This window comes from Homo sapiens, chromosome 4 (genome assembly GCF_000001405.40).
Source record: "Homo sapiens chromosome 4, GRCh38.p14 Primary Assembly".
Classification (NCBI taxonomy): Eukaryota; Metazoa; Chordata; class Mammalia; order Primates; family Hominidae; genus Homo; species Homo sapiens.
The window spans coordinates 169,565,880-169,592,175 of NC_000004.12; the positions used below are offsets into that span (position 1 = coordinate 169,565,880).

Genomic DNA, 26,296 nt, shown 5'->3' on the forward strand with positions numbered 1-26,296 from the left:
GCAGATCGTTATGCAACTCTATAAATACATAAAACCATTTAATTGAAAACTTTTAATGGCTGAATTACGTACAGTATGTGAATTATATCTCAATAAAGCTATTTTTTAGAAATACATATCCCAAGAGTTACTAAATCATAATCTTTGGACATAGAGCCCTACATTCCATATTTTGACATGCTGCACAGGTTAACTTTAGTAGCCAGTCTAGCACCATTCTCAAAATTTGTGAACTACAACACCAAACAATTAAGCAATTTAAAAACATTAATACAGCAACTTAATATAAATAACTGGATTATATATATATTACACAATAGTGTGGAATAAGAAGAGAATGTTTACATATTCATATACTCTTGGGTAAGTTACATAAAGGCCAAGATTGTATTCATCTTCTAATGGTTCATATTGCCTTACATATAAGATATTCAAATATTTATGAAATGAAAATACTAAGCTGTTCCTCTAAGATCACACAGGTATTTTCAGAACACTATTTCTATAGTGAAGAGAATAATACGAAACACAAAACATCCACACTGAGAGAACTGTTTGTGTTCTTTTTAAAAATCACAGCCAAAGTACTGAAGTATAACATAATATATTCAAGGAGCTCCCTCTGGTGGCTTAATGGCCACTCCTTTGCTTTAACAGAGCCTTTAAAAAAAAACCTATGACTTACAGGAACTGGAGCAAAAAAAAGTCTCACAATACATGAATATTTTGTGGACAGGTTGAATAATAACAACTTAATGCACATTAGCTTAAATTTGTGCAATTAAAACATGACAGTATCTTAAGTGGTTAAAGCTTTCCTTTTTCAGGCTTGAAGTTAAAAATTCTAACGGGCCATTGTGAATTTCAACCTAAAAGATGCTTTAATTTCCAGGGGGAAAAGAAGTCTTTTAAAAAAATGAGATAAAAAAAAATCAAGGGAAAGGCCGTGTGTGGTGGCTCATGCCTGTAATCCCAGCACTTTGGGAGGCCGAGGTGGGTGGATCACTTGAGCCCAGGAGTTTGACAATAGCTTGAACAACATGGCAAGACCCCGTCTCTACAAAAAATAGCTGGGTGTGGTAGTATGCACATGTAGTCCCAGCTACTTGGGAGGCAGAGGTGATTGCTTGAGCCTGGGAGGTGGAGGTTGTAGTGAGCCAAGATTGCACCACTGCACTATGGCTTGAGTGTAGTGAAGGTCCTGTCTCAAAAAAAAAGAAAAAAAAAATCAAGGGAAAAACCTATATTTACAATCATGCAAAAATCATATTTAAAATACTTCAGAAATCTGGGGTTTATTTTCTTTTAATTCTTTTGTTAGAAGATTTGAAAAACTTTCCACACAATCGACTGCCGTTTCTTTTTTTTCCTACTTACTTTTTCTTTTCTTCAAATGTTTTTTTCATTGTGGTAAAATACATAAAACAAAATTTATCATTTTAACCATTTTTAAGTGTGCAGTTCTGTGGCATTAAATACTTTCACATTGTTGTTCACAGAAACTTAGTTTTAAGTGAAAAAAAAAATTTTTTTTTTTTTGAGACACAGTCTCGCTCTGTCACCTGGGCTGGAGTGTAATGGCACCATCTCTGCTCACTGCAACCTCCACCTCCCAGGTTCAAGTGATTCTTCTGCCTCAGTCTCAAAAGTAGCCAGATTACAAGCACATGTCACCATGCCTGGTTAATTTTTGTATTTTTACTAGAGACGGGGTTTTACCATGTTGGTTAGGCAGGTCTCCTGACCTCAAGTGATCCACCTGCCTCGGCCTCCCAAAGTGCTGGGATTACAGGCATGAGGCACTGCACCTAGCCAGTGAAATGTTTTTAAAATAAGCTATATAATACTTCAAGGGCTGATTATTATTTAGTTCTCAATGGTCTAGCTCAGACCATACTTGTCTGCCTGATGAAGTTTGAGGGCAACGACTCTGCCTGAAATTCAAAACATTTATAACTACCATCTGAATCATTTGCCTATGATTCAGAATATTTGATAGTAGAGATATTATTCAGAATATTATTAACTGAAATCTGAAAATTCCAAAGCATGCTGCTTTTATATACTGAATATTAATGGAAAATAAGGAAAACATTAAGAAAACCAACACATTACTTGATTCTGTCAGCCATATGAAGAAACAGATTATACACTTGGCTACAATCCTACCCAAACACTAGGGACTTTCTATGATATCATTTATCCAGATTCACCAACAGTTCTGATCTCTCCATTCAGTCAGGCTGATACATGGCCAAGAGATAAGGCAACTCGCTTCTACAAGTCCACTCGAGCGTGTATTCCTTACAGACATAATGACGTAAAGATACAAACACTCCCAACTTCCCATCTCTCTCTACCCCCACAATGGTAGTTTTATTCCATGGGAAGACAGAGAATTCCATGTGTATATATTCCAAACATTAAAATGGATTACATTTGTAAACCATTTAGAATAAATAAGCATCTTAAAAATGGTCCATGAAATAAATTTACTTTGAATTCATATTTCACTGAACTCTATTAGAAAACATAAAACATATTTCCAAAGAAATTTTGATCCACGGCACATTTTTTTAAAAAAGGACATTTATAAGAATCCAACCCACCTGACTGATTTCATACCAATGAAATACAACTACTGATAATCACAAGTAAAAATATACAAAAAGTATATATAACACTAAGTAAAAACACTAGAACACAAAATTATCTATAAACTTTCTGAGCTATATTAAAAATACGGGCAATATATATTTGAATATAAATAGGAAGGCCCGCTGGACGTGGTGGCTCACGCTTGTAATCCTAGCACTTTGGGAGGCCGGGTGGATCACTTGAGGTCAGGAGTTCGAGGCCAGCCTGGCCAACATGGTGAAACCCCATCTCTACTAAAAATACAAAAAAATTAGCCGGGCATGGTGGCACATGCCTGTAATCCCAGCTACTCGGGAGGCTGAGGCAGGAGAATTGCCTGAACCTGGGAGGCAGAGGTTGCAGTGAGCCGAGATCACGCCATTGCACTCCAGCCTGGGGGACAAGAGCAAAACTCCATTTCAAAAAAAAAAAAAAGAAAACCCAAAAAACAAATAGGAAGGTCCACAACAAAATTTAGTAAAATTAAATGCGTGTGTAAATACTGGGGATATGTTTTACGCTTTTATTATATAAAACTCTTAAAAGCACACTAAAAGTTATAGCAAGTTTATTAAAATACATACTTCACAGAAAAAAATTACAGATCAAAGTTATACTACTCAAATTACTTCAAAGAACCAAATAACTTTAATAAAGTCTCTATTTCAAGAATTAGATATGTAGGTACAGAATCAATTTCAAATGTTCTAGAGCTTCCTTTTCATTACCTCAACCTGAAGTAGTTTTTTTACATTAGATTTTATTTTTAAAAATGGATACATAATAATTGTACATATTTATGGGATAGATGTGATATTCTGACACATGCATACAATGTGTAATGATCAAATAAGAGTAACTGGGATATCGTCAGCAGCTGCTTTTAAACATTAAGAATAAAAGCTCTCTCCCTCTCCCTCTCCCTCTCTCCCTCCCTCCCTCTCTCCCTCCCTCCCTCTCTCCCTCTCTCCCTCTCCCCATGGTCTCCCTCTCCCTCTCTTTCCACAGTCTCCCTCTGATGCCGAGCCGAAGCTGGACTGTACTGCTGCCATCTAGGCTCACTGCAACCTCCCTGCCTGATTCTCCTGCCTCAGCCTGCCGAGTGCCTGCGATTGCAGGCGCGCGCCACCACGCCTGACTGGTTTTCGTATTTTTTTGGTGGAGACGGGGTTTCGCTGTGTTGGCCGGGCTGGTCTCCAGCTCCTAACTGCGAGTGATCCGCCAGCCTCGGCCTCCCGAGGTGCCGGGATTGCAGACGGAGTCTCGTTCACTCAGTGCTCAATGGTGCCCAGGCTGGAGTGCAGTGTCGTGATCTCGGCTCGCTACAACCTCCACCTCCCAGCCGCCTGCCTTGGCCTTCCAAAGTGCCGAGATTGTAGCCTCTGCCCAGCCGCCACCCCGTCTGGGAAGTGAGGAGCGTCTCTGCCTGGCCGCCCATCGTCTGGGACGTGAGGAGCCCCTCTGCCTGGCTGCCCAGTCTGGAAAGTGAGGAGCGGCTCTGCCCGGCCGCCATCCCATCTAGGAAGTGAGGAGCGCCTCTTCCCGGCCGCCATCCCATCTAGGAAGTGAGGAGCGTCTCTGCCTGGCCGCCCATCGTCTGAGATGTGGGGAGCGCCTCTGCCCCGCCGCCCCGTCTGGGATGTGAGGAGCGCCTCTGCCCGGCTGCGACCCCGTCTGGGAGGTGAGGAGCGTCTCTGCCTGGCCGCCCCGTCTGAGAAGTGAGGAGACCCTCTGCCTGGCAACCGCCCCATCTGAGAAGTGAGGAGCCCCTCCGCCCAGCAGCCACCCCGTCTGGGAAGTGAGGAGCGTCTCCGCCCGGCAGCCACCCCGTCCGGGAGGGAGGTGGGGGTCAGCCCCCGCCAGGCCAGCTGCCCAGTCCGAGAGGGAGGTTGGGGGGTCAGCCCCCCACCAGGCCAGCCGCCCAGTCTGGGAGGGAGGTGGGGGGATCAGCCCCCCGCCCGGCCAGCCGCCCCGTCCGGAAGGGAGGTGGGGGGGTCAGCCCCCCGCCCGGCCAGCATACCCGTCCGGGAGGGAGGTGGGGGGGTCAGCCCCCCGCCCGGCCAGCCGCCCCGTCCAGGAGGTGAGGGGTGCCTCTGCCCGGCCGCCCCTGCTAGGAAGTGAGGAGCCCCTCTGCCCGGCCACCACCCCATCTGGGAGGTGTGCCCAGCGGCTCATTGAGAACCAGCTATGATGACAGTGGCGGTTTTGTGGAATAGAAAGGGGGGAAAGGTGGGGAAAAGATTGAGAAATCGGATGGTTGCCGTGTCTGTGTAGAAAGAAGTAGACATGGGAGACTTTTCATTTTGTTCTGTACTAAGAACAAATTCTTCTGCCTTGGGATCCTGTTGATCTGTGACCTTACCCCCAACCCAGTGCTCTCTGAAACATGTGCTGTGTCCACTCAGGGTTAAATGGATTAAGGGCGGTGCAAGATGTGCTTTGTTAAACAGATGCTTGAAGGCAGCATGCTCATTAAGAGTCATCACCACTCCCTAATCTCAAGTACCCAGGGACACAAACACTGCGGAAGGCTGCAGGGTCCTCTGCCTAGGAAAACCAGAGACCTTTGTTCACTTGTTTATCTGCTGACCTTCCCTCCACTATTGTCCTATGACCCTGCCAAATCCCCCTCTGCGAGAAACACCCAAGAATGATCAATAAAAAAATAAATAAATAAATAAATAAATAAATAAATAAATAAATAAAAAGAATAAAAGCTTAGCCTGGTTGCGGTGGCTCATACCTGTAATCCCAGAACTTTGGGAGGCCAAGGTAGGTGGATTACTTGAGGCCAGGAACTATTTGCCAGGAACTAGTGAACAACAACAAAAATCCCTACCCTCATGAATTTCTGCACTGTAGTGGAGGAAACTGGTAATAAACTAATTGAAAATAGATTAGAAAGTGATAACATTGTGGAGAAAAACAAAGCAGAGTAAAGTAGAGTAGAAACGTGGGAATGGCGTAGAGGGATGGTTATTACTTGATATAGTGTGATCAAGAAAGGCTCTATTCATAAAGCAAGTTTTGAGCACAGACCTCAAAGAAAAGACAGCAGCAAGTACAAACTTGTTTTTGCAGGTAAGTACTTGGCATGTTTAAGGACAACAGGTTTGGCAAGGCTGTACCGGGACTAGCAAGGGAAGAGTAGCAAATGAGACTTGGAAAGGTAATGAGGCTGTCGGGGGCTTTGTAGACAGTTGTAAAGACTCTGGCTTGCTTTTTTTTCTTGAAACCAAGTCTCACTCTGTCTCCAGGCTGGAGGGCAGTGGCATGATCTCAGCTCACTGTAACCTCTGCCTCTCAGGTTCAAGCAATTCTCCTACCTCAGCCTCCTGAGTAGCTGGGATTATAGGCACACACCACCATGCCCAGCTAATTTTTTTTTTTTTTTTGTATTTTTAGTAGAGAAGGTGTTTCACCATGTTGGCCATGATGGTCTCAATCTCTTGACATCGTGAGATCAAGGTCACAAGGCCCACCTCCCAAAGTGCTGGGATTACAGGCAGGAGCCACCGGGCCCGGCCGACCCTGGCTTTTACTGAGTGGGATGAAAAGACACTGAAAAGTTTCAAGCAGGAGAGTGTAACGATCTGACTTCCATCATAAAAGGAACATTTGGGCTGCTCACATGAGAACAGACTAAGAGGGTAAGTCTGAAAGCAGTTAGACTAATCATGAGATTATTATAACCCTGGTGGAAAGTGAGGGTGGCTAGGACTAATATGGTGGTAAAAATAATGAGAAGTAGTCAGACCGTGAATATATTTTGAAGTCACAATTGACAGGATATGACGTAGAAAGAGTAGTCAATAATGACTCCAATATGGAAGATGAGAACAAATGGAAGGGCAGAGTTCCCATTTACTGAAATAAGTAAGATCAATTTGGAGAGAGAATGAAATCAAGAGTTCATTTTTATATATGGTAATTTTGAGATGTCTATTAGAAACACAGCTGGAGATGTTAAGACAGGTATCAGTCTCCAGTTCAGGAAAGGAGTCCAAGGTGGAGATACAAATTTGAGAGTCAGCTTATAGATGTTATCCATTAGAAAGTTCGTATGGATACAAAAAAGAAGATATCTGAGGCCTGAGACCTTGAGCACCTCAGCATTTAAAAGCCCTGGAGGTGAGGAGGAACTTGCAAAGGAGGCTGAGAAGCAGCAGTCAATGAGGTAGGAAGAAAACCAGAAGAATGTAATACCAGGGACTCAAATGAAGAAAATATTTCAAGAAGGAGGGGGCAATCAAGTGAGTCAAAAACTGAGGTCAAGGAAGAAGAAAAATGACCCATGGATTTAATAATATAGACATCAGGAGCCATTTCACAACAGCTGTTTCATAACAGCTGTGACAAAGAAAGCCATGAGTGAAGTGGGTTCAAAATGAAATGAACTGGAGACAGTATAGACAATCTTTTGGGAAAGTTTTGTTGTTAAAGGGACCAGAAATATAGAGAGGTAGTTGGAAGGACATAAGGGAAAGTTCCTTTTTAAAAAGACTTAAGATATAGGATATTTGTTTGCTAACATGAATGATTCAGTAGAGAGAAAAAACTATAATGATGCAGGAGAGAGCGCAAAGTCCTTTAGCAGGCAAAAAAGAATCACAGTATGCAAATGATTGAGTTGATCCTAACTGGGAACAGAAACAGGTCATCCAAAGTAAAACGAAGAAAGGTAAAATATTTGCCAACAGGTAAGACTGACTAGCAGAAGTAATTGTGGGAAAGTTTTCTTCCAATTGCTTCTATTTTCTCAGTGAAGTAGGAAGAAAATATTGGTCCTTGTGAAAAGCAAAGAGAAGGTAAAAAATAATCACCTAGGAAGTAGAAGAGTAAATACACTGAGGAAATATAATAGGGTGACCAGAAGGTGCTAATTTGATATTGTTGGTTACATATTGAAAGTTAGACTAGTTACAATAGTCATATGCTTTCTCCAGCCATATTCCACTGACCAGCTTCAGGCACAAATGAAGTGGAGAGTTGGATTTCACAAAGTTAAGTTTTTTGGTTATTGGTAATAATGGAAGAGAGGGCAAGAGAGCTGACCATTTGGAAATTATTATAAATGAATATGGAATTTAAGCCAGGTAAGGAAAATAGAAACAAAGAGGGGGAATAAAGGAAGTTATTAGGATTCATGGATCCAAATGGGACAGATGTTTTGGAGGCAGACTCCTAAAGAAGTAAGCTAGAAACACAGGAAGTGGTGATCAGGGAACGGGATGATTATAAATGAGGCTAAGAAAGAGTTGTTATTATTGATAATAAAAATTTTAATGGCATGGCCATAGGTGAGAGTTTCAAGTTAAAGTGGGAGACAAGATATTTGAAAGAGAATGATCAAGAAAATAAGCCAGGCACGGTGGCTCATGCCTGTAATCCCAGCACTTTTTGGGCAGCCAAGGCAAGAGCATTGCTTGAGCCCAGGAGTTTGAGACAAGCCTGGGTAACATAGTGCAACCCCACCACTACAAAAAATAAAAAATTAGCTGGGTGTAGTGGCACTTGCCTGTGGTTCAGCTACTCAGGAAGTTGAGGAGGTGGATTGCTTGAGCTCAGGAAGTTAAGGCAGCAGTGAGCCATGACCGCACTACTGTCCTCTAGCCTGGGCAACAGAGCAAGACTCTTTCTCAAAAAGAAAAGAAAAGAGAAAGAAAGAAAATGAAAACAAAAGGCCATGTTCTATAGGAAGTATCATCTTTTTTTATACTAAAACTGTAAAGAATTATGACAATATTGGAAGGAGTGACAGTGAGTCAGGTGTTAAACTCTTCAAAAGACAAGGGTTGGCGGGGCGTGGTGGCTCATGCCCGTAATCCCAGCGCTTTGGGAGGCCAAGGCGGGCGGATCATGGGGTCAGGAGATCGAGACCATCCTGGCTAACATGGTGAAACCCCGTCTCTAATAAAAATACAAAAACAAAATTAGCTGGGTGTGGTGGCGGGCGCCTGTAGTCCCACAGTCCCAGCTACTCAGGAGGCTGAGGCGGGAGAATGGCGTGAACCCGCGAGGCGGAGCTTGCAATGAGCTGAGATTGTGCCACTGCACTCCAGCCTGGGCGACAGAGGGAGACTCCACCTCAAAAGAAAAAAAAAAAAAAAAAAGACAAGTGTCTACAGATGATCCTAACACAGAAGAGCAGTAGGTGATACAGTCTGGTAGCAAAAGCATCAAGGTAGAGAGATGAGGAGAATGGCAGGATCAGGCAGCAGGGAGAGTCTGGCAATGAGAAGCAAGGGAAACATTTCCTTCATCCTACCTCTAGACCCAATAATATTAAGGGATTAGAGAAAACAGCCAGCATGTAAGACAGCTGCAGAACAGTGTGTTCAGGGACAAACCAGGTTTTCAAGCAAAAAAGGTGAAGACATCTTTAGAAGTTTAAAATACAGTGGATTTTGCCAAGAATGTACTATAAGAGAGTTTTCTGGAAGAGATTACAGGTTGGTGCAAAAGTAATGGCGGTTTTGCTTTCAATGACAAAAACCCCAACTACTTTTGCACCAACCTATAGAAAACTATGCAGGGGTGGGGGCAGATCAGAGTATGACCAGAGTCTTACAGCAATAGGAGAGTCTAGGCAGTGAGGGAAAGCTGGAGTCCTAGGCTTCCTGTGGTGACTGAAGTAAAGAGAGATAAAACGATAAGATGGAATTGGCCCACTTAGGTTTGAATACATCTTTTTAAAGATAGATAAAACCAGCAGGCCAGTTACCATATTGCCCCTCAGCTCCAAATCTACTCTTCATTGTCCAGCTTGTGATGCTAGAGCTGGACGTTGTAAACATTTCTTCTTTGATTGCTAACACAATATTAAGCTTTGTCAGTAAAACTGAGAGGGTCACTGCAAAGGCAGAAGCTTCTCTTCCTGATTAGTGTGTTTCCTTTCTTCCTGTTACTGCAGCAAGTGGGACAAACAGCAGCACTCACCCCTACAGGCACCTTCCAGGAGTGTTTGGCCAGTGCCCCTACCAGCTTCCCTGTGAGTTTCAGCAGCACCTGCAAGAAGAGCTTCCCACAGAATTCTGCTGGTGCCTCAGCCAGCATCCCAGCTAGAGCAGCACCAGATAAGTTCCACTGGCACCCCAGCAGGCTTCCCAGTGAGTTCAACGGCTCCTCAAGTGGCTTCCCAGTACATTCTACTGACACTCCAGGCAGTTTCGCAGGGAGTTTCGTCAGCTCCACAGTGGACACTTTCCTCTTTGCCAGCCCCAGACTGTGGGGCCATCGAGTGAGCTACTGCCATACCCTACCCAGTAAGGTCTGAATCTCAGCCTTCGCGATGGGGTTAGGGTTTCTTTAAAAATTTGTGTCTTCTTTGGGTACTCTGCCTCAGCACTAGGAATAGCAGCTGCTTCCTGTATCTGCTATTACTGCATGCTTTAAAAAAAAAATTTTTTTACAATCTCTCATTTTATTATTATAATTTTTCTAAATTTCTTTTTTGTTTTTTTTTTTGAAACAGAATCTCATGGTCACCCAGGCTGTAGTGCAGTGGCGCACTCTTTGGCTCACTGCAACCTCCGCCTCCCCGGTTCAAGTGATTCTCCCACTTCAGACTCCTGAGTAGCTGGGACTATAGGTGTGCGCCACCACACCTGGCTAATTTTTGTATTTTTAGTAGAGAAAGGGTTTCACCATGTTGGCCAGGCTGGTCTGGAACTCCTGACCCCAAGTGACCCACCCGCCTTGACCTCCCAAAGTGCTGGGATTACAGGCGTGAACCACCACACCTGACCTATGATAGATTTTAAACAAAGTGACTGATCATTCCTACTATATAAAGTTTATCTTACAGCAGTGTGTATACATACATATCTAAGGCTGTGTATATGTATATGTATGTGTATGTAATCCAAAATGAAACAAGCTCCATATACCAAAGCATGCAGCTACTGACATAAAGAAAATGTCAAATTCCTGCAACTATCACTGTGTTCTTGGGCATGTCGCTTAAATTCTACAGGTCTTCATTTTTCATCTGAAATATGACAGAGTAGATTATATGATCACATTCCTTCCAGCTCTATGATTCTGTTTATCTGATTGTGAATTCTCAAATACCAAATATTTCCAGATTTTTATCAAGAATGTCATAGGTATTTATTTCATTTATGCACAAAAACAAATGGCTCTGCTTAGGTTGCTCAAAAGTTATTTCATTTATAATGTCACTCGCTTTTTATTACACTAATTATATTACTTAATATATTTACTTAATGACTTTTTATGACTCCTGTAAGGCTTCTCAGTTTTAGAGGACTGGTAAAACACAGAAGGAGGACATTCCTTGGTAACTTAATAAAAGTAATCCTATAATATCAAGGTAACTGAATTGAGCTGCAATGAAATAAGGTTGAATTGAATTTGTTATTAACACATGGTATGTAACATGATCATACCTGTTTATGTTTTTGCAGTGGTTTCTTTTCGTGTAATTTTTTATCTCCATATTTCTTATATGCTAAAGGTATTCCATATTTAGCGGCAGGCTTTGTAATTTTCTGAGCAGGCATAACAGAAATCGAGTTTTGTCCTGAAGCTGGTCTTTTAGCTAGATGAAAAGATACAAAGAATTTTGTCTGCAGTTCTTTACATTAACTCTTTACTTTCAGAATTCTTCAAGATAGCACTGTTTAATTTTCATAATCATTGATAGTATTTTAAACTTTCTATCAAATATCTTAATTCATCCCTTAGTATTTACTAATGCCTTAACTATTTTACCCTAAAGTCACTTTTTGACAGAAGCTAAAAGCCAAATTCCTCTAACATGTTGAAGTTTTTAATATTAAAAAAAAAAATCCCTGAAATTGACTGTGAGTGATGGTTGCACGTATCGGTGAATATACTAAAAATAATTTAATCATGAATATACTAAAAAAAATTTAATTGTAGACACCAAATGTATAAACTGTATGGTATGTAAGTTATGTATCAATAGAGCTGTTAAAAATAAAGGCCAAGCGCGGTGGCTCACGCCTGTAATCCCAGCACTTTGGGAGGCCGAGGCGGGTGGATCACGAGGTCAGGAGATCTAGACCATGGTGAAACCCTGTCTCTACTAAAAATACAAAAAATTAGCTGGGCTGGTGGTGGGCGCCTGTAGTCCCAGCTACTTGGGAGGCTGAGGCAGGAGAATGGCGTGAACCCAGGAGGTGGAGCTTGCAGTGAGCCGAGATTGCGCCACTGCACTCCAGCCTGGGCGACAGAATGAGACTCCGTCTCAAAAATAATAATAATAATAATAATAATAGTTTTTAAAAAATTCACATTTTAGAAACTACTTTCAAAATCAGAAGATAATCAAGAGCCACTGTTAAGCATTAATTACATCAATATAAGCAACTTTTTTCCTTCATATAATGTCTGAATGGTATCTATACCTACAGACCTGACAAAAAAGAAATATCTTAAAACAATCATTATCATTAAGGGTTCCACAGAATGGGTACCTTAAAGACTGCTGGCAGAAATATAAATTGGTTACACTTTCTGGAGAGCAATCTATATTAAGAATATTATTTATGAATTGATTATTAAAGAAATAATCAGAGAAACTCCATGCACAAGAATAAACCCTGCAGTATTATGTATTTAACCCTTAATGAAGCCTAGATGAGGTTCAGTCTTAGAAGGGATAAGTTCAAGAAAAACACCCTAAGGTAATAAAAAGGAAATTCTACTATTTATTCACATCTCTGGAGGATATTAAAAGAAGTCAGAGTAGAGTCTACATAAACCCTTATTGAAACCCTCTTTCCCTCTCTTATTTTTAATATCTGCCAAGATACCCCTCTGCTCAAACTCCCCTAAAGCCTAAGCAGCAGCTTGCTTTCTTCCACTTGCAGACTGCTCTCTAGCTCAGGATTTTATATTGTGCTAAATCAATTTAAATCAATCTCTTCCAGAAGTGTTCTTACTTTTTAGGAGGGGAAAGGAGAAAAAAATTTAACTGGTAGTTCAAAATGAAATCCTACGACTAAACTCAGTTCTTCAAAAAAATGTAATTGTAATAGAAAATGTTCATCATATAATAGTATAAATTAAAAGAAACAAAACTTCTAATAACGCATTCTCAATTTGTAGTTATGCATATATCATCACAGAAAAATATATCAAATATAACAGTGTGTGTTAAAATTGGGGTAATTTTTCTTTTAAAACATTTTTATAATAAATATCTATTTTGCATATAATTTAGTAAACTGTTTTAAAAATAAAAACAATATAAGCCATTAAGTCGGCATTTTAGAGATTCAGAAGTAATTTTTGTTGACAATATGGGATATACGACGTGATAGGGTAAGGTTTTCCAAACACATACTCCAACTGCATCTTGACCCAGAAACCAGGAAGCATGAGAAAAAAAAGATTTCCCTTTGAGAGTTCAACAGTACAATCAAATTAGAACATACACATACACATATACACACACAGTCACAATACTGCAACCTGGCTAAACGTGTTAATAGAATCAAAGAAATACAGCGCATGCCAGAAAAGGGGCTAGAGGCGCAAAAGCATAAAAAATAAAGATTTCTAAGAAACAAATATGAACAGTCCCATCTACTTTCCAGAGAAAAGAAAGAATTACTTATCTGATTTTAGAGTATTTTTCAGGATCATTGACAAGGCTACCTATGGCATGAAGTTTAACATAGGGGACTGGAGGCGACAAAGTATTTATCAGTAATACTACTCCTATTAAGCATTTCATTCAACCAAATGCTCTTACGACAAATTACTTTCTAATTCCTATATGGGTTTATCCATGTGGAAAGAACGTGCTGACACTGGGTATTTCCAGCTTTTGTGACAAAGAGCCTTTTGATTAAGATATGACTTCTACGAAGCTTGACTGCCCACTGCCCAGAGAAATCATGCTGATTCTTGGTCTCTTGTAAATTCTAAGTGAGTTGACTTCTCAGGGATTGGTGGTCTCTGCAATGAGAGGATGTGTAAGGGTCTTTAAGAAGGGCTAAATGCAGCTGGTGGCTCATGCCTGTAATCCCAGCACTTTCGGAGGCCAAGGCAGGCAGATCACGAGGTCAGGAGATTGAGACCATCCTGGCCAACAGGGTGAAACCCTGTCTCTACTAAAATACAAAAAATTAGCTGGGCGTGGTGGTGGGCACCTGTATTCCCAGCTACTTGGGAGGCCGAGGCAGGTGAATCCCTTGAACCCGGGAGGCAGAGGTTGCAGTGAGCTGAGATTGCACCACTACACTCCAGCCCGGCGACAGAGCAAGACTCCATCTCAAAAAAAAAAAAAAAGACGGGCTAAATGCAGCTTGCCTTCCTGAGAACGCACTGTCATACCACTTCTAGCTAAATGGGCTCATTTTTATGATACATATTTTTATTAATTTGTCCAAATTCAAAATGGAGTAGTACAAATAATTACGTTTGAAAAACAATATACCCTTCACGTATTAAATAACTTCCATTGATTTTAGAAATCCATTCTGAAATCATTCTATTCAGGAAAAAAATAATTTCCCTCTCACATAGATACATCTAAATACATATACATAGTATATAACCATATTCACAATCTTACAATGATTCTAATACCACTGGTCACATTGTTTAAAAGAAAACCTATCTTTAATGAAGTGCTTGACTTTACATTCACTTAATTTAAAAAATTCAGAATATGAAATATTTCTCAAAGAAAATATTTTACAACTGGGTGCGGTGGCTCACGCCTGTAATCTCAGCTCTTTGGGAGGCCGAGGCGGGTGGATCACCTGAGGTTGGGAGTTTGAGACCAGTCTGGCCAACATGGTGAAACCCCATCTCTACTAAAAATACAAAAAATTAGCTGGGCTTGGTGGTGGATGCCGGTAATCCCAGCTACTCGGAGGCTGAGGCAAGAGAATCACTTGAACCTGGGAAGCGGAGGTTGCAGTGAGCCGAGATTGTGCCACTGCGCTCCAGCCTGGGCAAGAGCGAAACTTCATCTCAAAAAAAAAAAAAAAAAAAAAAGATAATATTTTATATAAAGATTTACACAAAAATTGGACATTTTACAATTCTATAACAACGTTCTCAAAATATCAGCTAGGCATTTGATAAAGACATAAGATTTCAAGCCAGATTTCATTTAAATAAAATGAACAATAAATGAGAATGTTATTAATTTATAAGAAACTGTATATTGCCATAAAACATTAATAATTCTAAGGTGCATTTTCTCTGGATTAAATTTATCCTAGAATTATCCCAACTTACTACATCTACATATATTTCCAGTTTAATTAGGGTTGATTATTGCAAACAGATGAAAGGCTTCATATCAGATTTCATTTACCTGGTATAGGCTGTGATCCAAACTTCGAAAATGTTTTTAGACAAAATTCTTCTGCAATAAGCTGAGATTGAAAGAGAAAAAAATTAGAAAAGATGTTACATTTTCAAAATAAAAAACCTACCCATTAATTATAATACATCTTCCCCTTTTTCAGTAGTAATTATGCTGCCAAATAAACTGTACTAAAACCAAGTTGTTAAAAAAAAAAAAAAAAAAAAAAAAGAAGCCCAGGTGTCGTGGTTCATGCCTGAAATCCCAGCACTTTAGGAGGCTGAGGGGAAGATCGCTTGAGCAAGGAGTTAGAGTTCAGCCCTGGCAACACAGTGAGATCTCGTCTCTATTTTAAAAATTAAGAAAAATAAAAAAAAATCCATTCAATAAATTCCTCTCATGCTTACTCCCTCCCAATCTTATTTATGTATGTATCTGTGGGTGTATGTTTTTGAGACAGGGTCTCACTTTGTTGCTCAGGCTGGAGTACAGTGAGACAACAATGGCTCACTGCAGCCTTGACCTCCTAGGCTCAAGCAATCCTCCCATCTCAGCCTCCTATTAGTTGGGACCACAGGCGTGTGTCACCATGCCAGGCTGATTTAAAAAAAATTTTTTTTGGTTTATTTTTTATGGAGATGGGGGTCTCCTTATGTTGCTCAGGCTGGTCTCGAATGTATGGGATCAAGTGATTCTCCTTCCTCAGTGTTCCAAAGTCCTGGGATTAAAGGTATGTGCCACCGTGCCCAGCACTAATTTATTTTTATTAGTTCTCCAGATAGAGGCTTTCTTCTCAAATTAATGTAATGAACAAGGTAGGCATCCATACATTACTCGCCTATTTCATCTCTCAGCAATTTAACACAACTACCTATCTGGAAAAATCTCTATATTCTGTGTGCATCCATAGCCTTCACTTTCTTCAAAACTACTGAAGAATCTCTTCATTATCAAAAGAAATTATCTAGTAATCTCTCAGTTATTTTAATTTACTCTGAATCCTCTTAACATCTCCAATGAGTTTTGTAGCTCATAATTATAAATTATAACTAATTTTATTAAGTTATTGAATATGTAAATATTCTTAATTCAACAAATGTACCCATTTAATATTAGTATAAACGCTCCATTATATATTCTCCAGCATTTATAAACATAGATGTTTATAAATCAGGAACAAAAATCATTTACATTTTCTGCAAGTAATTTTTTCTCCTTACTCCATATTTTTCTCTCCTTCACTTCAAAACTATGATACCAACAAAGAATTAACTCGATTTATGCTTTTTTTTCTTACTTTGTGGGGAAGGCAAAGGCAAGTGAATTTTCTCTTTTTTCAAGAGAACTGATTCTTGGTGAGAGAATCTTCCTATATTAACAGTGGTCCAGACACTCCAATAGGCAAAAAAAAATACATGATCTGAGGGGGTTGTTTTTCCCATTAAGAAAATCCCTAGAGCAATTCTCAAAGTCTCATACCAGCAGGATCAGCATTACCTGGAACTTAGTAAACATGCAAACTGTCAGGCTCCACTTCAAAATTACTGAAACCGAGACTGTTGTGGTGAGACTCAGCAATGCCCTCTAGGTGATTCTGATGCATGCTAAAGTTTGAGAACCTTTTCACTAGTGGACAAATGTTAAGAGCCAAGTCTGGCTCACAGGCAATTTAGAGCAACCATGTGAACGTGTGTTCTCTTCTCAACAAATGCATTTTTTTCCTTTTCTTTTTCTTGGAAGAAAACAGGTGGTTTATGATCTCCATCTTGTCCCCAAATCTAATCATTTCTTCCACTGTTGGAGAAGTCTTTGTTTTCCTGTGTTAATGCTCATGTGAATTGAGAGATGGGGCATATAGAATCCAAGAAGATCCTGAAAACCCTACGTTATGTTTTCCAATAGAGTAGCCACTAGCCACATGCGCCTATTTGAATTAAAATTTAAGGTATATATATATGAAGCTTTTCAGTTATACCAAGGACATTTCAAGTGCTTACTAACCACATGTGGCTAGTGGCTGCAATATTGAACAATGCAGATATAGAACATTTTCATCATCACAGAGCATTCCACTGGACAGCCCCTACATTCCTAATGAATCAGAACTTACCCATGGTTTTTCAAGCCATATCCAGGAAGAAGTTGCCACAGTGCCCAAGACTGAAAACTAGGCCCTATCAACCACGGTTGATGGCCTTGAGAGGACTGAGGTATTAAAATGGTAGGGAGCACTACAGTGATACTGGAAATAATAGTTTATATGTTACACTAAAGCTCATGAATTGTTTCAAAGTTATAGCCTTTAAAAAAAGGTATCACAACTACTCAGGAGGCTGAGGAGGGAGGACTGCTTGAGCTCCAGAGGTGGAGGTTGCAGTGAGCTGAGACTGCACCACTGCACTCTAGCCTGGGTGACAGAGTGAGACTCCATCTCAAAAAAAAAAAAAAAAGTATCACAAAGCTTCTCACCTAAGTAGATATATAGTACAAAATAAATCTGAGGAACAGCAGATAAAGGTTTTTATCTTTAAACAACAAGCGATATATAGTAGAAAATAAATCTGAGAAACAGCAGATAAAGGTTTTCATGAAGAATGAAATCTAAGTGGTGCTTAAATAGTAACAAGTAGGGTCTATGTATATAATAAACACATAATGTCAAATATCCCATTTGTGAATAATCACAATCTACCCTTGTTTCTTTTCATATTATAAGTTTGGCACATTTTAGGCTTGAATATTTTCTCTTTCATTGCTAGCTAGCTAAATTCCAGTACTTCAGCCTTGAGACAGTATGTCCCAACTCCTGGTATAGGGAGAAAGAAACCTCAGCAAGACTAAATGAAGTCATTGTTTATTCTCTAGTGGCTGCCAAAAAAACAATAGTATGCTACATAATAAAAGTGTCCTCGCAAACGTTATTTATAACAAAGGAGTCTTGTAAGACACCCACATTTCAGAAGCTGCTGCTATGACCTATACAAGTAACCTTTAATCTCCAAATTTTATTTGGCTTTCTTGCATACTAATGCATTCTCCTGGTAGTAACAGTAAAATCAACATCTGTTTTCTGAAGAGTATTTGGTCACATGCATGTTCTGTTAAGTCAGAAGGATATATGATACTTCCTTCTTCTCCATGAGCATATAAAACTAATATAAAAAAACTATAGTTTTGCTGAATATCTTATTTACTGAAGAGGTTAACAGTTATTTAACAAAGACCTCACTAAACCAGAAAAGTAAAACAATTCCAATCTCAGGTGATCAAATTTTTATGAATAACTTATGCTAATTGATTTGATATAGATTGCTTCAAAAATCTTGTGAAATTAAAATTCAGTTAAACTCAACAAATATTATGCACCTACATGTGTGCACTAAAGGAGAAATCATGAGTCAGTAATCTAGTATACCTACATATAAATGGTTTCTAGTCATTTCCTATCAAAAAGAATATAACTATAATATATAAATTACGTTAATAACACATTTATAGGCCAGGCGTGGTGGCTCATGCCTGTAATCCTAGCACTTTGGGAGGCCAAGGTGGACAGATCACTTGAGCTCAGGAGTTCAAGACCAGCCTGGGCAATATGGTGAGTCTCTGCCTCTACAAAAAATACAAAAATTAACTGGGCATGGTGACATGTGGCTGTAGTCCCAGCTACTTGGGAGACTAAGATGGAAGGATGGCTTGAGCCCAGGAGATGGCAGTTGCAGTGAGCTATGATCATGATACTGCATTCCAGCCTGGGCAACAGAACTACAACCTGTCTCAAAAATAATTTAAAAAAAATTTGTATTAGTAAAATACATTGATATGTAGGTGATATTTAAGACATTAAATATTTTGAGCACTTACATGCTAGACATTAAGCACTTTATGTGTATTATCACTTTTAATTCTCACAATAACCTTATAGATACATTTAATAATCCCTTTGCTCACAGGTGAGGAGAGTGAAGCACAGAAATGCTCAATGATTTTACAGTTAGAAATCCAGAGAACAGAGGAATAACGCATAACTGGAAAGCAAACATTAAGAAAACAGTTATATAAGAATGGAAAGGCTGGGCGAACTGGTTCACACCTATAATCCCAGCACTTTGGAAGGCCAAGGTGGGATGATCACCTGAGGCCAGGAGTTCCAGACAAGCCTGAATAACATAATGAGACTGTCTCTAAAAAAAATTTTTTTTTAATATTAGCTGAGTGTGGTGGTGCACACCTGTAGTCTCAGCTACTCAGGAGGCTGAGGCAGAAGGACTGCTTGAGCCCAGGAGTTTGAGGCTGCAGTGAGCTATGATTTTGCCATTGTACTCCAGCCTGCACAACAGAGCAATACTCTGTCTGAAGAAAAAGAAAGACCATGGAAAGGAAAGTGACACTAATGTAGTTTGAAAAAGGCACACCATTCCTCCAAGATCCAGATGTGTTCTCCTCAACACTGGAGGCCATGTCTTAGCTAAGCAACATAACCCTACTGTTTAATTTTAAAGGAAAAAGAACTTACCTGAGGAGAGAGAAACTTTTCAATGCGTTTGGCTATAAAACCTTTCTCCAATATGGAGTTGACTGATGGTCTATCCCTAGGATTTCTTTTAAATAACTGAGACACCAAACTGCGGAGATCATAGGAATAATGCAAAGACACAGGTGGAAAAGATCCAGATATTATCTTCAGTACCAGGTTTTTCATACTGCCAGCTTCAAACTAAATTCCAGAAAATAAATAACATATAGGAAACATATATAAATTGAAACTGAGAATATCGGTAATGAGAAATAGTTCTTTTCCTACCAATATAGAATAGAAACACAATCCTCTTCCAAATAATTAGAATATGTTTTCTAGAGCAAAGTTTACTTGGTTATCTGTAAATTAATATCAGCCCTCAAAAAATAAGAGTAATTTTTACTTATTCGAAATATTTAAAGATGGGATGTATTAAATAAACGTTTCATAAACTATAACAATAATCAAATGGTGAAAGGTTATGCCTCAGAGGTAGCAAAATTAGGGCCAAAGAACCACAAGCAGAAAAAGAACAACCTGCTGGTCTTCATTTAAGACCTGACTTTTAGTGCCTCTGTTGTAATGACTAGAACAAGAAATTAACTACAGAACTAAAAGTATTGGGGGAAAATATAATAAATAAAACTACTAATACTTTCCTTTTAGACAATGCTCACTATTATGTGTGCGTGTGATGCTCCTAAAAGCTATGGAAATCAGCAATATAAAAAATATCTTAATAGGAATATATATGTCAGAATTAAACACAATATAAACTTTAAAGTAAAAAGAAAACAAGAGGTAGGGCAGTTTAAAATCTGAAGATTTCATTTTGAAAGAGGGCAATATTAAGCTTTTGATATCTCCACTAAAATATTACAGAACAATTGTACAATGTTGATATCTTCTTAATATACATATTAATAAAATAAAATGTACTATAAATTAGGCATCAGTGATTACAAAAGTTCTACTAAATGTTGAGCTCTCCTAAATGTCATTTGAGTAAATTCAATCTTACAGAAACATCTGTACACCTAAATAGGAATCCTAAATGCAGAAAAGATGTGGTTCTCTATTCCAATGCACTTTCGTTTATCTCTCAATTGACACGCTCTTCATAAAGGGTAAGTTACTGAATTTCATGTATCTTAAGACACATGCTACTTAAGAGTAAACAATCCCAAAATAAAGAAGAGATGGTGACAGAACAATGTAGTTGCAAAGATTTTTTAAAAACCCACAAACCAATGGTTTAAAGCTCAAATAACTGTGTTGCAGAAAAACTGATCAATTATTTCAAATAAGCATCTGATAACCACCATCCCACATTACTTTGTCAGCTTATGCTTTTTTCCTTAAGAAAGAAAAAAAAAACTAAGGCAATATAGTAAAAGGGTATGCAACCATTAAAAAGAATGACAAGAAAAAATATTCCCCAAATAGTATTAAGCAATAAAGTCAGGTTATAAAACTTCTTATAAAGTCTAATCAAACTTTTGGGGAAGAAAAAAAAATTTCATTTTACAGGTAGTCAATACTGGCTGGAAGAACTGCTTATGAACCTTATTCACTTATTTATATTTTCTGAAGTTTTGTGTAATGAAAATACAATATTGTTTAATCAGTGGGTAAAAAATGTTAATCACTTTCCATTTCAAAAAACTGCTTTTTTAAGATTAAACCTACTTAGGACAAGAACCCTCCCCCTTTTTAGTGTGTTATATGTTATTTCAAAAAAAAGTCTCAAAAGTAAAAATTTTAAATACTCTGAATTAATGATTACTCAAATTGATAAAAGTCATCAGTGAGTATATGGAATGAAATTCTTTAAATTAGTTCAATTCCAAACTCAATCTGGGTGTTTTGAAAGAATTCACTAAAACAAAACTAGTAAAATTTATTAAGCTGAAATATCAAATTCATACAAAATTTAACATTAAGAAAATAGCAAAATTTATTTCTGTCATTAGAAATAATTTTCTGGAAAATATGAAATATTATAAAATAGCAAATATACCAGATATGCATATATACAAAGGGAAATCGATTTATACTTCAGAAAAAATGAGAAATTCAAAAATGGACTTAGAGGAGAATTTCTAGGATGAGGGTTACCTGAAAGATAATATAACTTAAAATATAATAAAAACATTATAGTCGCTTTTTAACATAACTTTGAAAGTATTTCAGAAACTTCTACTTACAGCATGTTTAAGTGTACACAGCTCATAAAGGACACACCCCAGAGCCCAAATGTCACTGGAGAAGATAAAAATGAGAAATTTCCTCTAAGTATTTCAAATTTTTTCATTTAAAGGAAACACAAACAGCATAAAAGTGTTTTGGAAAAATATGTGCTCCAGAAAAAATTTCCTTTAAAACTAAAAATTTCAACCATAATCAAATGACAAAAGTAGCTGTCCCAGATTGGAAAAAGAAAATGGTTGCCCCAACAATTACTTTGAAGCTTCATTAAAGAAATTTAATATTTAAAAGAACAATATCAAAAAAATTCACGTAAATTCTATTTTTATTTCATAAAACTCAAACTTTTTTCAATTATTTGTAAAATACCATGATTTTAAAAATTATAAAACAAAATACTAATTTAATGGACATTAAAAATGTATTAAGAAATTTGCAACAGCTACTGACTAATGTTACCTTGGTTGGGATTTTCCAATTAGAGAGAGAAAATAAAGGGTAGCTGGAATTTAATGGTAGAATTGCTCTTTCTACGCACATATTATATAGTCTGCTAGCCAGACTACAGTGCTGTGATTAGAAATATGGGCTTGGGAGCCAGATGTCTAGTTTGGATGCTGATTCCACCACTTATTAGACTCAAGGATTTCAAAGAAGTTACCTTGCCTCTCTCTGCTTTTGGTTTCCTTATAAGAAGAGGAGGAATGATTAATACCTACATCTCCCAAAATTATTGTGAAGACTAAGAGAATACCTAGAACTCGAAACAGTACCTGGCTTATAGTGTGTTCAAGAAATACTAGCAATAATTTAATAAGAAGTGACTATCATGAAGAAAAGACCAAAGAAAGCACTCTACTTTCAATTATAACATAAATAATAAGGTGATTCTTTCTGCTGTTCTTCCAGTAAGATAATCAAATAGCTTTTTTACAATTCCCCTCACCATATATTAGCAACATTTTATATATACATATGTGTTTACATGTATGTATTATTTATTTTAGAATAGTATTCCAAAGGTTAATAAACATGACAACAAAAAAATTGAAAGCAAATACATCACATAATGAATATCATTTTAAATACCTTTTATTATTGTAAGGTTTGTTTTCACAGATTTCAGGTGACAAGTAGTATGGGGTCCCTATGCAAGTTCGAGCCAGCTCTACAGTACTAGAAGAAAAATAAAATTATTGGAGAAGTTAAAGACACAGTCATGTGCCACATTAATGTTGTTTTTGGTCTACAGCAGATCGCATATATGATGCTGGTCCCATAAGATTATAATGACACTGAAAAATTCCTATCACCTAGTGACACGGTGACTGACATACACTGTAGAGCAATTACTTTATTTTTTAATAAATTTAGTATAGCCGAAGTGTACAGTGTTTATAAACTCTACAGTAGCATACAGAAATGTGCTAGGTCTTCACATTCACTCACCACTCACTCACTCACAGAAAGCAACTTCCAGTCCAGCAAGCTCCATTCATGGTAAGTGTCCCATAAAGGTATATCATGTTTTATCTTTTATATTGTATCTTTTCTATGTTTAAACAAATATATACCATTGTGTTACAATTTCTTACAGTATTCAGTACAGAACATGCTGTACCGGTTTGTAGCCCAGAAACAATAGGCTACACCATACAGCCTGCCTGTGTAGCACACTCTATCATCTAGGTTTGTATAAGTACACTCTATAATATTCACCCACTGACAAAATCACCTAATGATGCCTTTCTCAGAACATGTCCCAATAAAGCAACATCCCAGTAAAGAATGTACTTAAAGATACCATAAATTATCACATATACATCATCATGGATTGAAGGTTCGCTGAAAACATTATATCAAAACAAAGTTTAAAATTCATGTTACCTATTAAGAACTCTAGCAATTCCAAAATCTCCAAGTTGTACTGTTCCATCTTTAGTTAAAAATATGTTCTGTAAAAGACAGGAAAAAAAAAAACCCTAGAAATATTGTTACAGTCCAGTTCTAAGTCAACATTTTTCATAAAATTTAAAATCCAGTTAAAAAAATTGTGCTAGAGTAACTGGATATTCACATACAAAAGAATAAATGAAGTCCCCTACCTCAAATCATAAACAAAAATTAATTCAAAATGGAGTCTAGATCTAAATATCAAAACTAAAATACAAAACTCCTAGAGAAAAACATAGGAATAAATCTTCATGCCATTGGGCTAGGGAATGGTTTCTTAGATATGACGTCAAAAGCACAAGCAAAAAAATTAAAAGGATAAATTGGACTATCAAAATTAAAAACTTTTGTGCATCAAAGGACACCATCAAGAAAAGAGACAATCCATAAAATGAGAGAAAATTTTTACAAATCATATATTTGAGAAAAAACTTTTATCAAGAAAAGGGCTTGCATAACTCAACAATAACAACAAAAAAAACCAAATAGTATGACTTAGAAGTAGGCAAAAGGGGCCAGGCGCAGTGGCTCACACCTGTAATCCCAGCACTTTGGAAGGCTAAGGCAGGCAGATCACTTGAGGTCAGGAGTTCAAGATCAGCCTGGCCAACATGGTGAAACCCCATCTCTACTAAAACTAAAAAAAATTGCCAGGCATGGTGGCAGGTGCCTGCAATCCCAGCTACTCGTTGGTCTGAGGCAGGAGAATCGCTTGAACCTGGGAGGCGGAGGTTGTGGTGAGCCTGAAATCACGCCACTGCACTCCAGCCTGGGCAAAAGAGCGAGACTCCGTCTCAAAAACAATAGATAGACAGACAGACAGACAGACAGACAGACAGGCAAAAGGCACATACTTCATAATACCCATTTATATAAAATGTCCAGAATAGGCCAATCCACACAGACAGAAAGATTAAGGGTTACCAGAGTCTAGGTGGAGAGGAATGGGAACTCACTGCTAATGGGTACGAGGTTCTTTTTGGAGTTATAAAAAATGTTCTGTAAGTTTCAGAGACTGGGAAGGAAAGTAATTTTTAGAGTATGGGAAGCAAGCAGGAGATCTAATACAGGATGCAGATGAATAGGATAAAAAGGAAGAGACAAGACAGATAATCTGATGCACACTAAATCAGGTTCAAAAATTTTTGGCCCAAAACAATGAAGGTTCCATGTCTTTATCCATTCAGAAGTTATCAGTGACAGAATAACATACCTGAGATTTAATGTCTCGATGAAGAATTTTTCTATCATGTACATGTTTCAGGGCCAAACATATCTGTACAAACCAGTCCAAAATCTAGGAAGAAAAATCAGATCTGTCAAGCCTCTCTTTGACCATTAAAAGAATTCAAGAATATTTAGGGATGAGAGGAACTAAATCCTTAAAAAGATATTTTAGGCTACAATTTCTTTTAACTTTGTAGGCACTGACATTAAATAGATATTCAAGTCAACACAAGCTCTGCACATACTAAATCCAAAATGTAAGAGATGTTACTGGGTCATCTCTTATAAATCAAAACAAACATGGAAAGTAACTTTATGAGTGAAAATGCAAATAATTTATATTTTATAATATTAAGACAAACAGGTGATTCTTCTTTGTTTTTAATACATCTTTTTTCTATAACGCCCCCCCCCCACTTCTTTAGGGATAGGGTCTTGCTCTATCACCCAGGCTGGAGTGCAGTCGTGTTATCATAGTTCACTTCAGCCTCAAACTCCTGGGTTTAAATGATCCTCCAGCCTCAGCCTCCGAGGGACTAGGACTATAGGTGCATGCCACCACGAGCAGCTAGTTTTTTATTTTTGTTTTTTTTACAGAGACAGTGTCCCACTATGTTGCCCAGGCTAGTGGTCTTGAACTCCTGGTCTCAGGAGTTCCTGAGATTCAAGTGTTCCTCCTGCCTTGGCCTCCCAAAGTACTGGGATTACAGGTACAAGCCACTGCATCTGACCTCTATAATGCTTTTTAAAAATATAAAAATCACAAAAGGAAAAAAATCAAGCTGGAAATTTGGAAGACATCTCTGACTTTTTTTCTCTTCCCACATTTATTATATATAAACACTCTTCTCTGGAGACGGCCACTTGGAAATAAAAAGGCTTAATTTCTATCTCATTGTTAACATCAAAACAATTCCAAGTACATGGCATTTTTAAACTAAAAAAAAATAATAAAAGAAAACATAGGTTAATTATCTGTAATAATTGACTAAAGCAGGACTTTCAAAACATGACATAAAATGCTTAAGTCATACGAAAAAGACTGATAAAGTTGACTACATACAATTTAAAACAACTGTAGAGCAAAATACATATAATCAAGTTTAATAATAATTTGAGAAAATACCTGCAACATAAATGATAGATTGCTAGTTCTCTAAGATGCAAAAGTTATTCAAATCACTGAGAAAAGTACTGGCAGACAAAATAAGAAGTGGACAAAAGACTGGAGATGCAAATGACGGGGCGAAAAAATGCCCGAAAAACGCATATACAAAGTACTAAACTCCCTCACAAATTAAAAAAAAAAAATTAAGATACTATATTATCTTGCTTAAAATGAAATAATACATACTGTATGTCAGAATGTTGGGAAAAGAAGCCTTTTTGTCACAGGTGTTTGTGAAAAGGTTAATTATAATCATTTGTCAAAATAT

At 38.0% G+C, this 26,296-nt stretch overlaps 1 protein-coding gene across 27 annotated transcripts in view; it reads right to left on the reverse strand.

The window, feature by feature from the left end:
* The window catches only part of NEK1 (NIMA related kinase 1), a 219,775-nt gene that overhangs the window by 173,071 nt on the left and 20,408 nt on the right, over positions 1-26,296 (reverse strand). For 25 of the 27 annotated variants that reach the window (NR_164630.1, NM_001440625.1, NM_001440624.1 and 22 more), the window contains 7 exons: positions 24,847-24,930; positions 23,568-23,635; positions 22,770-22,856; positions 21,680-21,734; positions 19,470-19,670; positions 14,963-15,023; positions 11,049-11,200 (listed from right to left, as the gene is read on the reverse strand). Coding sequence is in view for 25 of the 27 variants with exons in the window: in NM_001374421.1 (NP_001361350.1) it covers positions 11,049-11,200; positions 14,963-15,023; positions 19,470-19,670; positions 21,680-21,734; positions 22,770-22,856; positions 23,568-23,635; positions 24,847-24,930 (708 nt within the window). In the remaining 2 variants the exon portion in view is untranslated. Of the gene's footprint in view, positions 1-11,048; positions 11,201-14,962; positions 15,024-19,469; positions 19,671-21,679; positions 21,735-22,769; positions 22,857-23,567; positions 23,636-24,846; positions 24,931-26,296 lie in introns of those variants that run through there. The other 2 variants (NR_164631.1, XM_047415738.1) reach the window with 2 other exon arrangements.